The sequence below is a fragment of the Homo sapiens genome, chromosome 13 (assembly GCF_000001405.40).
Source record: "Homo sapiens chromosome 13, GRCh38.p14 Primary Assembly".
NCBI lineage: Eukaryota > Metazoa > Chordata > Mammalia > Primates > Hominidae > Homo > Homo sapiens.
Genome location: NC_000013.11, coordinates 34,067,451 through 34,083,569, shown reverse-complemented (window position 1 = coordinate 34,083,569; position 16,119 = coordinate 34,067,451). Strand labels below are relative to the sequence as shown.

The 16,119-nt window shown below is 38.0% G+C and overlaps 1 long non-coding RNA gene and 1 pseudogene across 1 annotated transcript in view; one reads left to right on the top strand and one right to left on the bottom strand.

Moving 5' to 3' along the window:
* VDAC1P12 (voltage dependent anion channel 1 pseudogene 12) lies at nucleotides 260-793 on the top strand (annotated as a pseudogene).
* Nucleotides 2,057-16,119, bottom strand: part of LOC124903153 (uncharacterized) — a 51,749-nt gene continuing 37,686 nt past the window's right edge. The window contains exon 2 of the long non-coding RNA XR_007063754.1: nucleotides 2,057-4,197. This is a non-coding gene — a long non-coding RNA (uncharacterized LOC124903153). The remainder of the gene's footprint in view (nucleotides 4,198-16,119) is intronic.

The following is a 16,119-nucleotide window of genomic DNA, read 5'->3' as shown; positions in this document are numbered from 1 at the left end:
CTATGTGCACACAAAGCCACTGGTCACTTGTGAAGATTACCCAGTGATGAGATGTGGCCTTCTCAGTTTTTGGAATGGGGAGATGACAAAAAGCAAGCTTTTCTCCAGGTTTCAAATGAAATTTTTAACCTTCTTCTCTCTCATCCCCCAAAATAATTTTGACCTATTGAAATATAAACAGTCTTAATACAAATAGGCAAATATCCATACCTTCCCGCCATGGCTGCTGGAGGCCATCATCACTACCTCTGAGCAGAGGATGGCTGTGCCACTCGCACATGGCAATCTTGGCAAATCTACCAGGGATCCCTTCACCGAAGCTATGGACTTGGTGTAATGAAACTTTATTTAAAAACAAAATCTGGAATTTACAAGTTCGGGTTCAGTCCACACTGAGACCACCAAAGTGATGGGCAGCCTGGAAACCAAGTACAGAAGCATTGAGTGTGGTCCGGCATTTATGGGGAAATGGAACACTGACAACATGTGAGGCACCAAGACTGCCATGAAGATCAGCTTGCATGTGGACTGAAGCTGACCTTCCATTCATCTTTCTTACCTAACACTGGGGAAAAAACGTGCTAAAATCAAGACAGGGTACGATCGGGAGCCCATCTGCCTGGGCTGCAACGTGGATTTGGACATCACTGGGCCTTTAATCTGGGGCATGCTGGTGCCGGGTTAGGAAGGTTGGCTGGCTGGCAACCAAATGAATTTTGAGACTGCAGAGTCCTGAGTAACCCAGAGCAACTTTGTGGTTGGCTACAAGACTGATGAATTCTAGCTTCACACATGTGAATGACAGGACAAGAGTTCAGTGGCTCCATTTACCAGAAGGTGAACAAGAAATTGGAGAGCGCTGTCAATCTCTCCTGGACAGCAGGAAACAATAACACTCATTTCAGAATAGCAGCCAAGTATCAGATTGACTCCGAAGACTGCTTTGCAGGTAAAGTGAACACATCCAACCTGGAGGTGTTTCTACTCCAGTTCATCAACACCTCTTTTACACCAAGCTGATAGGTGTAGGATACACTCACAACCCTAAAGCCAGGTATCAAACAGACACTGTCAGCTCTCCTGGATGGCAAGAACATCAATGTCAGTGGCCACAAGCTCAGTCTAGGACTGGATTCAAGCCTAAATGAATACTGTACAATTGTTTAATTTAAAGTATTTTGAAGCATAGCTACCTTCAGAATTTAGTGTATCTTTCAATGTTGTATGTCCAGGATGCAAATATTGCTAAATATCATATCAGACCTTCAGGTTGTAAAGACAATTCAGCTTTAAGGTGTTACCCTTTCAGAAGTAGAGAAGAAACCCAATTCCACAAAAGATCCTTTCAGCTGTAGACTTGGGGAGCTAGGTGGCCCCTCTAGAGATCAGGTTCCTTTTTTTATCTAGAAATGACTGCAATTGGAAGCTGATGATATGTAGGCACTTTGTAAATGCATATTGAGTAAATGAATGAAATTGTGACTTCCTGAGAAATGAACCGTGGTTACCTAACCCTACTTGATGAGAGGCTCCTTGCTAGATGGTGTGTACAAACTCACCTGAAAGGGACTTTTTAAGACAGCTCTTTATGACCTGTTTCTACTCCAGTTCATCAACACCTCTTTTACACCAAAAGGTCTGCAGGGTGTGGTAACTGTTTCTTTTTTGCCATTTTGAGGTGGAAGAGGGTGCATGTGATGAAGCCAATAATTCAGGACTTAATTCAGTTTTACATTGTGGTTTTTGGTCCTTGGACCAGAGTAGGAAATAGCTACCGGGAGCTCCAGCTATAAGTTTGGAAGAGGCTGTGTGATTGTAATAACATGGTGACAACACTCAGAATCTAAATTGGACTTCTGTTGTATTCTCACCACTCTATTTTTTAGCAGTTTAATGAACACACTTTATATTCTTCCATTTTGTGTGGAATTAGAACCTTCCCTTCAAATACTGTAATTAACATCACTTAAAATAAAATTTGAAGAGAATACTGAAACCTCATCCTTCTATTGTCTTTATTAATTAAATGTAAATAAACAGGAAAAAAACAAATAGGCAAATTCTACTATCTAATTTATTCATTTAGTTTCACATACAGACTTAAAAGAGTAAGTTTATATTAATTTAGCAACATTGCATTTGAAACAATTTTATTCGAATGCCTCATTCGCATCTTGTCTTTATTGCTTTCACCATTGCTTGACTCACTTTTCGAACAGGGTCCAGGGCCCATGTCTTTCTTACAGTCTAAATTGATCGAGAGATGGTTCTTTTCCATTTGTGTGGAGGCCGTCAATGAATACCTCATCTCAAGCCACAAGAAGCCAATTTGTGTATATTTTTTTAGAAAATTGTTTTGTGTGTCTTATAGGTATTTATTTGCAACCTCTACATTATCATTTACTGTATTCCTCCTAAAAGTAATCTTTGAAACTTTAAGCCTTCCTTATATTCAACATTTGAAATTGCATGATCATATACACAGGGGTACAAGTGAAATGTTACAATTTAAATTGTGTTTAAAATAATTTAAACTTAAACTATGCTAAATTTTTGTCTTAAAAAATTTTATCAGCTGACCTTAAAAAATTTTCAAAATTAGCATTGTTTAAGGTATTTTCAGGCAAATGTGTCTTTCCCAAATATATCTTTATTATTCAAAATTAAGTATTAATAATAAAGCCCATACCATGTAATATCAAAGTCCCTCTTCTCTAAGTGATAATTGTTTAAGAAAAAATGATAAACTCACCTTATAGTCAGACATATATGGCAACTATTTTACTAGTGCAAAACTAACCTCAGAACCCAAGAGTTCAGAAGGGATTCATATAACTATTAATGATTCCAAATTATGTCTTACCTTCACAGCATAATGAAATTGGCCACAGCATAATAATAAGTTTCTCTTCCTCCTGTCTCCATATTCGTCTCTCCTCACTTGCCTATGCTTGATTTCTACTCATAATTCAATTCTAGAGCAATTTATATCACTTGCTGGGCCTGTTGCAAGCCCCAAATTAATTACAACTTGGTAGTTTGGGGTCATCTCAACATAGCCCTTCTCTAAGGGAGTGGTTCACAAATGAGGGAGAACCTAATTTCATGTGACTAAAAAAAGTAAACTTGCATCAACAAATTCAGTACCCTTTGAGCATATCACTTGCAATTTAATAAAAGTACATTCAGGGGGTCTTCATTAAATGCTGGCATTCTTTGAGTGATTTTACCTAATAATATTAGCTGACATTCCCGGTGGTGCTGTTTTTCTGAATTATGTGTGAGCTCTTCCAATTCCTAATAAAAATGTCCTTCTATGCTGCTCATTTCCACATTCATATTTCCAGCCCTGATTCTCACCCAAGCTCCACTCCAACCTGCTCCTTAGAAATCATTTCAAACCTAGGATGTTCCACCATCACCTCAAACCCAACATGCACAACGATGAATTTATTTTATTGCTTGTCTGAAGAGTTTTCTAAAAGTTTTGGGTCATTCACCACGGGAAAGAGGGAATGAAAGTTACACTTAATATAGGATGTATGGGTCTATATAAATTAATTGACATAGTGGTCAGAAAACCCTGGCCATAAAATAGTTCCACTTCCTTGTATTACTAATTTTGCACACCCGAGCAAGATTTTATAAGTTGTGCTAATAATAAGTACATGTTTTTCTCTGCCTGGGTTTTGTGTATCAAGTGAGAAGTAAACACCTCCTGCTGCTTCTGCTGTAATTCCCTCTGAGTAAGCACTGCTGTGTTGTGTGTGTACATGTGTGTGTTTGTGTATATGTGTGTGTATGTTTGTGTGTGTATGTGTGCATGTATGTGTATGTATATGTACCTGTGTCTGCATAGGTGTGTATTTGTGTGTGTGTGTTTTTGTGTGTTTCCATGTGTACATATGTGTTTATATGTTTGCATGTGTGTATGTGCACATGCGAATTTGTGTGCTTGTGTTTGAATGTGCACATGTGTATTTGTATATGTGTGAATGTGTGTGCAGTGCACACTGTAAGAAGATTAAACCTGGGTCACAAAGTGGAAACCTTACAGTTGGCCTGTCTCCTTTTTGCCGTCAGCTGGAGCTCTGCCCTTGTAACTTTCAAGTCATTTTCAGGGTGGGTCATTCACATGGTGTCCACCACCAGCCCCTTCAGTCCAGAGTGGGGAATGTCTTGATTGAGACCATTTGCCTTGAAATCAAAGGAACATAATAAGGAAAATAGGATGTTGGTTCCAATTTTTGTTTTCTTGTCTACCACATCCAATAAAGAGACACCTTTTGTTTTAGTTTATATAAAAACATCTCTTTAGAGAGCTCAATCTGCTCAAACAATATGGGTTAGAGAAAAGAAGCTGTTTCCCATTTCTACAAACAACTCAGAGACCAGGTACAACATTCTCCTGATAGATCTCCATACACACACACACACACACACACACACATGCTCACACACATTCACATTCACAGACACATATATTCAGTCACACATTCCCACCCACCCACACACTCACATACACATGCTTATTCACACACACACACTAACATCCACACTTACATACACATATACACATTCATGCCCACACACACACACACATACTCACATACACATACCTTCACACATGTGCACTCATATACACACATATTCACACATATCCATGCCCACACACACTCACACATACTCACATACACATACCTTCACACATGTGCACTCATATACACACATATTCACACATATCCATGCCCACACACACTCACACATAGATACACACACTCATTCACACATATACACACATTGATGCACACACACACACACATTCACACCCACACTCACACTTGCACACTGCCCCACACACAATCAAATACACATCTGCACTCACACACCTACTGTCACACACACCCAGAAGCACCCACACAGCCTTTTCCCCTTCTCACCAGTCATATTTGTTCCTCATCTTTCAAGGAACAGGGCCCAATTACTCTCTCTGGTTCTTTTACAGTGTCTGGCCTGTCAGCTCGTCCTCTCCATCCCCACAGCTGTCTCTTCATTTCAGTGCATCTCCTGACACCCGAGTGACTCACAACTTCCTCCTAATGAATCTCCCTGGCCCCAGAATCTTTACTCTAGTCCACCTTGTCCTGGCACCAGATCCATCTTCTTGATCACAACATTTTCTTACTCCAGCAGGTGCCACCTCATTGATGATCAACAAGTCAGGCACATTTAAACATCATTCAATGAGGAAGGAGAGATTGCGAATGATTCTGGGTGGCTTGGCTGCCTATTCATATGGGGATAGGGGAATTGACGTCTCAGCCTGTCTCTTAGACTCAATAGCCTTGTCAGCAATCTCCAGAAACATAACCATCTTGCACAGGCCCTCATGGTATATTTCTATTTTTGTGCATGTCCTACCTTCCTAAAAATATCATAAGCTTTCTGAGGATAGGGACGGTGCTGAAGCTGTAAGTTCATCCTCCACAGTGGCTGTCAGATACCTTCCCGTGCGAGTGACTCCCAGCACGACCTCCATGACCTCTGTGATCTTGGGCAAGTCATATGAGTTCTCTGAGCCCCACTTCTCTTTTATATAAATGAGACAAAGAATACCTGCCTCAAAATGGTCTTGAGAATCATATTAGCCAATGCAGCTAAAAGGCTCACCACAGTACCTGGCACACAGTAGGTATTGAATAAACCATAGCAATGACAATTATTTGCTCAGTGGAATGCAGATCATCAACTAAAATCCTTTGGAGAAATGTCATGCAAGCATTTGCTGCTCTGAAACTCTGCCTAAGATACAAGGAGGCAGGTGTCACAAACAACAAAGTCTCCAAAACCAATTGCCACAGCCAGAGTTTTATCCAGGACTTGGATTTTGAATGGCAATGTTTATAAACAAAGTAGCTGGTTTTCAGGAAACCCCCAAACTCTCCCAGAGATCAGCAGCACCATTCCTTCCCACAAGAGACAACCAAACAGAAAATGAGCTATGTGTGCAATTTTATGTGCCCCTATCTCAGGCATTGAAATAAGCCCATCTCGAAATGCAGCTCAATCTCTCTCAGCTGTCTTCTCTCTGAAAAGCGTCCTGGCATTGAGCCACTCTCCAGCTCCCATGGACAAAAATGAAGCTCTACACCTTCGTGGTAAACCATTCATGTCCCCAGAAAGGAATGGATGGTTTCAGTCTCCCCCTTTCCGCATTTTAAAAGGTCATTTTAAAAGTTATTGCTTCTTTGCTACCACTAGATGGTACTAGCCAGCTGCTTGTCATGTATATATTTTTTTATTTTGTGTTTTGTTTACTGCCTCTGAGCATTAATCCAAGAAGGCTGATTACAACAACATGCTTTGCAGAAATGGTACTTTGAGAGACCTTGGGCAGTCATCAGAAAGTAACTTAGCTGCCATTTGTTAACTATGTTACCACTTCCCCTTGATATTTATTTATATAAAGTTCCTCTTTGCCCCATCCTGGATAAAGGAAATATTTAGTGTCATACAGATTATTCATACCACACTTGTCCACATTTGGGACCTTAGGAAGGCCTGAGAGAGATGTGGAATGCAATGACTGAATTGAAGGCAGCCAGAATAAACATTGGCTTTTCCACTCTCCTCAGGAGTCATGTCTTGCTGCCCTTTACTGAGGGTACCTCAATACCTCTGAGGGTATCTCAGTCCTCTTGCTTCAGACTCCCAGGAGACCCCCAATGCCTTAGGTTTTCCATACAGATACTTGGATCATCTTTCTCTTTTCTAGAATGGAAAGACAGCAGTGGATATTAGAAAAAGTCATGGGACGTGCTGAGAGAGACTGGGGAGTATGGCCCGGCACCAGATCTCTTTCTTCGCCACTCTGGCTTAAGACAATTGAAGGGCAGACTTCTCCTTGACCCCCCAAGCTCTCAAGACATTAGGTGTCACTAAATCCATACTCACAGGAGATGAATGGATTGTCAAGAGTGGGGAAAGAGTACTTGACTTTGCAATCTGTAGTCAGGCTATGAGAATAAGTGAGAAAGCACTGTAGCAGTACTATGCTAAGCCAAGATTAGTCATGAATAGTCATTTGGAGATGGTTATCAATGAAAGATTAAAAGATTCATGCAAAATTTTAGTTAAACTGAAGGGATGTTTAGCTATGATCCAGACCTCATTTTAATTACAATGCAACCTCTGTTTAAATATGGGCAGTTGGAACAATTGCTTAATCTTTCTGAGCCTCAGTCTTCTCATCTGGAAAAAATAATACTTTCTGCGAAATTATTGAAAAGACCAAGAAAAATAATGGCTGTAAAGCTCCTGACATTTAGCAGGAATTTGCCAAATGTCCCTCTCTCCTCCAAGTAGCTACAATGGAAAGTAGCCCCGCCCCACCCCACCCCCCAGCATCTTCACCCATACCTTTTCCTAGAGTAGAGGCTAAATTCCCAGGAACTAGCCCCCAGACACTGAAATTATTGTGAAATGCAGGAAAACCCATAATGCCAAATCTTTGATTTCCCCTGCCAATAGCAATGGCTTCCACACCTTCTATTCATATGCCAGTCACGTTGAAAAGAGGCACCTTCTAATCTTGGAAGAGTTTACCAGCAGTGAGACAGGTATATTTTTTCATCTGTTATCATAAGGAAAATACTTTTATTTCCTTAAACAGAATTTTTCTATTGAAAAGAGAAACAATTTTGCTTCATTGCTTTTTTTTCCAAAAGTAGTTCCTAATGCCCAGTGTGACAAATCAAAGAGACACTGTGAAATGATGGTATAATCTTTTCTGTCTACATTGAAGGAAAGTATAGTGAAATTACCGGGTAATTCCATACAAATAATTGCTACAGAAACACAGCATGACATTAAGCTAACATATAAAAAAAGGATATTTCATCTCTAGGTATAGAGAACAATAGATTTAAAAAGCAATAATTTGAGTTGACTATTACACACTCTCAATATATAGAGATTCAGGAAAAGCTATTAAATAGCAACCTTACTACCATGTACCAAGCAAGTAGCCAGAGTGAGTAGATTCTCATGTTGGAGCAAGAAATTTAAAAATCTTCTGCTTATCATTAAAAATTATAGTCATCTCAATGTTAGTAGCATCTACAGAAACACAAAAGGAAAAAAGAAAGCTAAAGAGGAAGACTATATGGGCAGGAAGTAGAAAGAATAACATCTATTGTACTACAGTGTCTGCTTTGCGCTTTTAAATGACTCAAATCCTTTGGAGTGTTTTATTTAAAAAACATCAAAGTTAGAATAAAAACTTTGGTAGAATTGGTAATAATCTAGTATTGTGTTGGAAATAATTCTAAAGCCATTTTGGGGTTCTGTATCAAAGACAGCCAAAATCAATTAGTAATTTCTGCCATGCATGCCATAGGCACAATTGAATAGTTTAGAATCTCCCCAGTGTACCTCTAGTATCAGATATCTGGGAGAAATTAGAAGATCACCACACATGCCCAGGAAAAGGCACGGGGTCACAGAAGCGCTAGAAAACTTTAAGTGTACACTTCAGGCTTATCCTCAGTACAGAGACAGCCTGTAACAGTGTACACACACACACACACACACACACACATAACCAAGAATGGTGAAGTAGGAGAATGTAATTTCCAGAATTACCAAACTATTAGATTCAAATATCCAGTTTTCGACAAAAAATAACAAGTCACACCAAGAAACAGGAAAGTATGACCCATTCAAAGAAAAAATATATCAACAGAAATTGTCCCTGAAAACAACCTGATAAAAGTTATACTAGCAAAAGAGTTTTAAAAAACCATATTAAAGATATGGAGAAAGTCCAGAAAATAATGTACGAACAAAATGGAAATACCAGTAAAGAGATAGATAGTCTAAAAAGACAAAATATTTCTGGAGCTGAAAAGCACAATAATAAAAATGAAAAATTTACTAGAGGGATTCAAAAGCAGATTTGAGTGGGTGAAAGAAAGAAGTGATAAACTTAATGATAGGACAATGGAAATGATCAAATCTGAGAAGTAGAAAAAAGATTGAATAAAAGTAAACAGAGCTTAAGGAACCCATGGGATAACATCAAGCAATCCAACACACACATTTTGGAAGTCTCAGAAGAAGAGAGAGAAAAAGATAGATAAATTGTTTGAAACAAATGATAGTCAAAACTTAACTCAAGTTTGATGAAAGACACAAATAGAAACATTCACGATATTCAATAAACTCCAAATAGAAGGAACTCAAAGAAATCAACACTGAAACACATTTTAATCAAACTGTTGAAAGCCAAAAGCAAATAATCTTAAAAGTAGCAAGAGAGAAGTGATTCATCACATACAAGGAATTTTCTATAATATTATTAGCATATGATCATCAGAAACTCTGTGGGTCAGAGTGGGCTAATGTATTCAAATAGCAAAGGGAAAAAGAAAACCAGTCAATATTTTGTGAATTATACTTGTCTCACAAGATATGCTAAAGGGAGTCTGGCAGGTTAAAATAAAAGGACACTAGACAGTAATTTGAAGCTATATGAATACATAAATATCCAGTAAAGGTAAATACATAAAAAATTGTAAAAGGTAGTATTATTGTAACAATAGTGTGTAACTCTACTTTTTATTTTCTGTGTAATTTAAGAGGCTAATAACTTTTTAAAAACCGCAATTATTAGCCAAGGCAATATTATTGTAGTTTTGGTTTATAGCTTCACATTTTGTTTCATATATAACTTAAGAGGCTAATGCATTAATAATTATTAGTTTATGTTTTGGGGCACCCAGTATGTAAAGATGTAATTCTGTAGCATTAACAAGTGAAAGGGGTGGGGACAGAGCTGAAGGAGCAGAATCTTTGTATGTTATTGAGGTTAAGCTGGTATATGTTCAAATTACAGTGTTATAAGTTTTGGTTGTTAATTCCCATAATAACCACAAAGAAAATGGCTAAAGAATATATACAAAAGAAAACAAGGAAGAAATTTAAACATTTCACTACAAAAAAAAAACCTCAACTAAACACAAAATAATAGTCTTGCAGGAAATGAGGGACAAAAAATCTATAAAGCATATAAAAAATAAATCAAAAGATGACAGAAGTAAATCCTTCTTTATGAGTATTAACTTTAATTATAAATGCATTAAACTTTCCAATCAAAACATGGAGATGGGCAGAATGGATTTAAGAAGCATGATCCAACTATATGCTGCCTAAAAGAGACTCACTTTAGATTCAAAGATGAAAATAGGTTGAAACTGAAAGGATGAAAAAGAGTATTCCATGCAAACAGTAACCAAAAAGAGCAAGGGTAGATATAGTAATATCGGAAAAAAAACTTTAAATTTTAAAAGTTTACAACAAACACATAAAGATATTATATACCAATAGGTTTACTACAAAAAGAAGTTATAACAACTGTGTGTAATATTTATCTGGGAGGTGATACCAGGATACAGGATTGGAGGAAGTGAGAAGAATGGGAGAAGAAAAATCCCCCTTCATCTAGACTGCTTCTGTAGACAATGTAGGTTTGACTCTGCACACTTCTATCTATTTTTATAAGGAATTGCTCCATGTTCTTCAACAGTATTGTATATAGAATGCCTCCCAGCACTGTCCACATAAACAGAATTAGCATGGCATGTGGGTGTGGGGAAATGTGAAAGGGAATGCAAGAAAACTTTTTTCTCCCATTAGTTGAAAGTTTTTACATGGCATTCTCTTGGGGCCAGTTTCTATGGCTTTGGAGAAGACCCTGGAACAGAATAAGGAAGGGTGACTATAGCTTCAGAGGTAGAAGGCTGGCAGTTTGAGGGGAGTCTTAGCTTGGAGTATATCTTACAAGTGGGCTGAAGTACTGGTATACTCACTGAACAACTCAGTCTAATGACACACATGAGGTAATTATCAAATGGTGGTGAGTGCACAAATAGAACTTTGCACAAGGGTTAGGGAGTTCAGGGGAGGGCACTTAACTGAGCCTGGGAGTGGGAAGAGCGAGATGTCAGAGAAAGTTGATATTTAAATAATGAGTAGAATTTGGCTAGAAAAAGAGAAGAGAAGGACATTTTAGCAAAGAAGTATGTACAAAAGCAAAGGCATTGAGGCAAGAAACAGAGGTGGGGGGTATGGGATGTGTGTGTGTGTGTGTGTGTGTGCACGCACGTGTGTGTGTTACAGGTGGCCACAGGCAGTTACTGGTGAATGAATGTGCTAGCCAAACATTGAAAAATGACAAGATTAGAGAAGTATGAAAGTGTCACATGAGCCCTGAGTCCCAGGTTAAGGAGTATTGTTCTTTATGCAGAGGACAATTGGCACCTAAAGAAGTATTAAGCAGAGAAGTGACCTGGATGTAGGACAAGATACTGAAGGAGACAGATCAGACTGGCAGCCTCTGCAGTTGTCCAAGCAGGATATAGTAGAGACCTGAGCAACCTTTTTTTTTTAAGTGAAGTCAGTTGATGTGTAATTTGAAAGTCAGGTTTATTGAGGTATAATTTACCTTTTTAAGTGTACAGTTTGATGAGATTTGACAAATGTATGCAGCTGTGTACTTACTGCCACTATCAATAGAGAACGTTTCTGTGATAGGTTGAATCGTGTCACCCCAAAATTCATATTCTGAAGTCTGTAGGAGACCAGAATATGCCACCCCAAAATATGCCTTTTTGGCATAAGAATTATTTTGAGCTAATTATTTTGAGAAACAGCAGACACAAGAGAATCTCTAAAGACAGAGCATAAGTTTCCATTTATAAAGGAAATTTACATCTATAAAGGAAATCTCCATTTAAGGGTGTCTCCCTCTTTATACCAGGAAGACAAGGAGGACTGTTTATCACAAGACACTCTTATCAATGGAGAAGACACTGACTTAAATCTGCATAACATTTAAATCATACCCTTGTTTATCATACTTTTCCTGGTCACCTTCCTACAACTTGCTTCCCTAGACCCAAAACATCTTTCCTTTGTGTTAGCCCAAGTTGGTAAATCCAAGTTCAATGACCCCTTTCAATTATTATTCATCCCTGTTTCTCTTCTCTATATATGAAATAGACATGTAAGTAGACTTACATGGTTATTTTTCTCTTGTTAATCTGTTTTGTTACAGAGCCCCAGCCAGAAACCTAGAAAGGTAAAAGAAAACATATGTTTTACTCCTCTTCAAGTCCTAACTTACAGTACCTCCAAATATGACCTTATTTGGAAAGAGATTAATTGAAGATGTAATTAGTTAAGACGTGGTCCTACTAGAATTAGGTGGGCCCCTCATCAAATATGACTAATGTCCTCATAAAAAGGGAAGAATTTAACACAGACAGGGAAAATGCCACATGAAGATGAAGGCTGAGATCAAAGTGATGCATTATCTGCCATGCAGGGAACCACCAGAGAGTAAGAGAGGAGAGTGGAACAGATTCCCCTCCCAGCTGTCAGAAGAAATCAACCCTGTCAGCATTTTGATCTTAGACTTCTAGCTTCCACAGCTATGAGATAATACATTTCTGTTCCTTAAGCTACTCAATTTGTGGTAACTTGCCATTGCAGCTCTAGCAAACGAACACAGTATTCAATTCCCAAAAGTGCTCTGTCCCCTTGCAGTCAATCGGTATCCCATTCTTGGTCCCTGGCAACAAATCAACTGATTTCTGTCTGCATAGTTTTTCCTTTTGTGCAATATCCTATAAATGAAGTAATAAAGTAGGTAGTAACATTTTGTGCCTAGCTTCTTCCATTTGGCATGATGTTGAGGCTTCAATTTTGTTGCTGCATGTGTCAGCAGTCTGTTTCTTTTCATTGCTGTGTGCTATTTCTTTGCATGGATGTACCACAATTGGTTTATTCATTTACCAATGAATTGGTTTATTCATTTACCAATGTCATTACACATTTGGTTTGTTTCCATTTTGGGGCCTTATGAATAAAGCTGAGATTAATTAATACATAGATGTAGATCTTTTTGTGTGAGGCATTTTTGATTTTTGAATTAATTTTTTTCTCTTTGATTTTCTGGTGTTCCAAGTAGTTGAGGATTAGAGGTCATGTCAGCCACTGCAATTTAGGAAGTCTCAGGAATTGAGAAGGGCCAGCTCAAGTGGTTTCAAATGGATATGTCACTCCAAAGTCTCCCCTTCTGCTTTGGTGTTTCATTTAGTTTCATACTCAGCTTTCTCATCTGACTCAACATCTTAATTCCAGGCACTTGTGAGAAATTACATGGGTTGCAAAATGGCAGGAAGAAAAGATCAAATCTCTTTTGAATTTAAATTTGGAATAAAATGGGACTTCTGTTTAAATTCAATAGAAGCAGTTAACAAAGGAATACAGACATTAAAGATGTTTCATTAAAATTGCCCATAGTGCTACATTGAGTGATTCATGGTTTTGAACATTTAAATGAGTCATACTCATCCAGGGCCTAAGCTAATTTCTATTGTAAATGAAGTACTTAGAGAAATTGTGTTTACCAGCTAAGAACCATGTAAATTCTCCCCAGCTTAGGTTCTACCTCCTTCATGAAGACTTTCTCTAAGGCTCCTGCCTCAATATTTTACACCCTAGATTCCCCCTTGAAAATTATAATACTACCCATTTGATCTCTCATAACAAAATAACACATGCATCTTTATTCAATAGATTTGTGTGTGTGTGTGTGTGTGTGTGTGTGTGCATAAAATATGTTATGAGATTTAATCTCCAAAATGTCAGAGAGTACTCAAACAAAAAGAGCCAGGTAGAGATTTCTTAGTCTGTTTTGTGTTGCTATAACAGAATACTACAGGCTGGGTAATTTAGAAACAAAAGGACATTATTTCTCATGGTTCTGGAGGCTGGTAAGTCCAATATCAAGGTGCCAGTGTCTGGCAAGGGCCTTTGTGTTGTGTTACTCCATGGCAGAAGGCAGGAGGGCAAGAGAACATGAGAGAGCAAGACAGGACTCACTTTTATTTATTTATTTTTTTTAAAAACAAACCACTCCTGTGATAACAATGTTAATCCATTTACAAGGGCAGAGCCCTCATGCACCAATAACCTCTTAAAGGTCCCACCTCTTAACACTGTTGCACTGGGAATTCAGTTTCCAGCACATGAACTTTGAGGGACACATGCAAACCATAGCAAGAGATAATTTTACTATTCATGATTAAACAATTATAAAGCACCTGCCATTTTTAAAGTTACTTCTATGTGCCAGAACTATGCAGACCAATTTATTTATGCTTTCTCACTTATATCAATTTAATTTAACCTAATTCTTATAACAACCTTACAGCATATTAAGGTGGTACAATGTAGTGGTTAAGAGAGAAAGTTTGGGATCAAAGAGAACTGGATTCTCATTTTGGCTCTGTCACTTTCTGGCTGTGTGATCTTGGAGAAGCTGCTTGATGTCTTAAAGCCTTTTTGTTTGTTAAATATTAATACAGGCATCACAATATCTCATGTTATGAAAAGGACAAATGAAGTAATGCATTTAAATAAACACTCAAAAATAAAAATTATATAGGTTAAGCAACACTAATCTGGAAATCCAAAATCCAAAATGCTCCAAAATCTGAAACTTTTTGAGCACCAATATGATGCCATGAGTTAAAAATTACACATGTTAGTTACTGAACACAAACTTTGTTTCATGCACAATATTTTTGTTTGTTTTTCTGAGACAGGGTCTTGCTCTGTTGCCCAGACTGGAGTGCTGTGACATGATCACAGCTAACTGCAGCCTCAACTCTTCCCAGATTTAATAGATCCTTCCATCTCAGCCTCCTGAATAGCTGGTACTACAGGCACATGCCACCACACTTGGCTAATTTTTATTTTTTGTAGTGATGGGGTTTTACTATGTTGCCCTGACTGGTCTCTAACTCCTGAACTCAAGTGATTTACCTGCCTTGGCCTCCCAAAGTGCTGGGATTACAGGCACGAGCCACCACACCTGGTCATTACACAAAATTATTTAAAATATTGTATAAAATTATCTTTAGGTTATGTGGATAAAGTGTACGTGAAACATAAATAAATTCCATATTAAGATTTGTGTCCCATCCCCAACATATCTCATTAGGTATATGCAAATATTCCAAAATAAAAACAGATTACAAAATGTGAAACCCTTCTTGTCATAAGCATTTCAGGGATACTTAACATGTATTGCATATATACATATATAATGAAATGAAGGCTCAGAGAGGTGAATTAATCTGTTCAAGATCACACAAGAGCGGCAGAGTTAGGTAATGAGACAAAGGACATTCATCCCAGACCTGACCTTATAAATGTCCACATCTTACACTTTTATTTTCTCCCCTGTAGCACTTGTCATACCTAAGTATTTATGCTAGATGCACTTTTAAATTTGTTTGGAGCAAAGGAATTAATGCTCATAGTTAGAAAGGACTCTCTCTGACTACGCAACTATCTAGATAAGATTGGCTAAAGCATTCAATCCCATACCTTCAGGAAGCATAAATTGCACTGAGATTTCCAAGTAGTCCTAGAAGATCCATATTCCTATGGCTTCCTCTGCTCCTAGGTCTCTGCTTATTTGTGGTATCTTGACTTCATACATATGGATCCAAACGAGATGCTGAGTTTCTGCATCGGCCTTTGTTGAAATAAAGTGTGGAGACTCATCCAAACTCTAGAGTTGATACGAAGATTATTTTAAACTGAAGACATTTTAGTTTCAGATGCAGAAAGAGCTTTGTTGGAGTTTCTCATATCTGACTAAAAGCAGAGACTTCCAAGAGTGAATCTGCCATAAATCCTCTTGCTGGGGGTGCTTCACTCCAGGTAAGACCACTCACTCACTGGGATGAGAGATTGCATAACAACATCATCACAAACTGTCATATGTTTCATTCGATCTTCTTAAAAGCCAATTTGTTTTTCCTAAAGCCCATTTGTTTTCCCATCGAAGCCCTTTCTCCCTCCTCTCTTTTCTTTATTAAGTTGAGATATAAACCCCTATATCTAGATGTTCAGGAAGCCTCTTAATCCGAATGCTCCTGGATGCATAATAATCTTTTTCCCTGTTAATCTGCTATTGCCCATTAATTTTCAGGCCCCTGATTACTGGAATTAAGTTGGTAAAGTTTTTCCTCTTAACAGAAG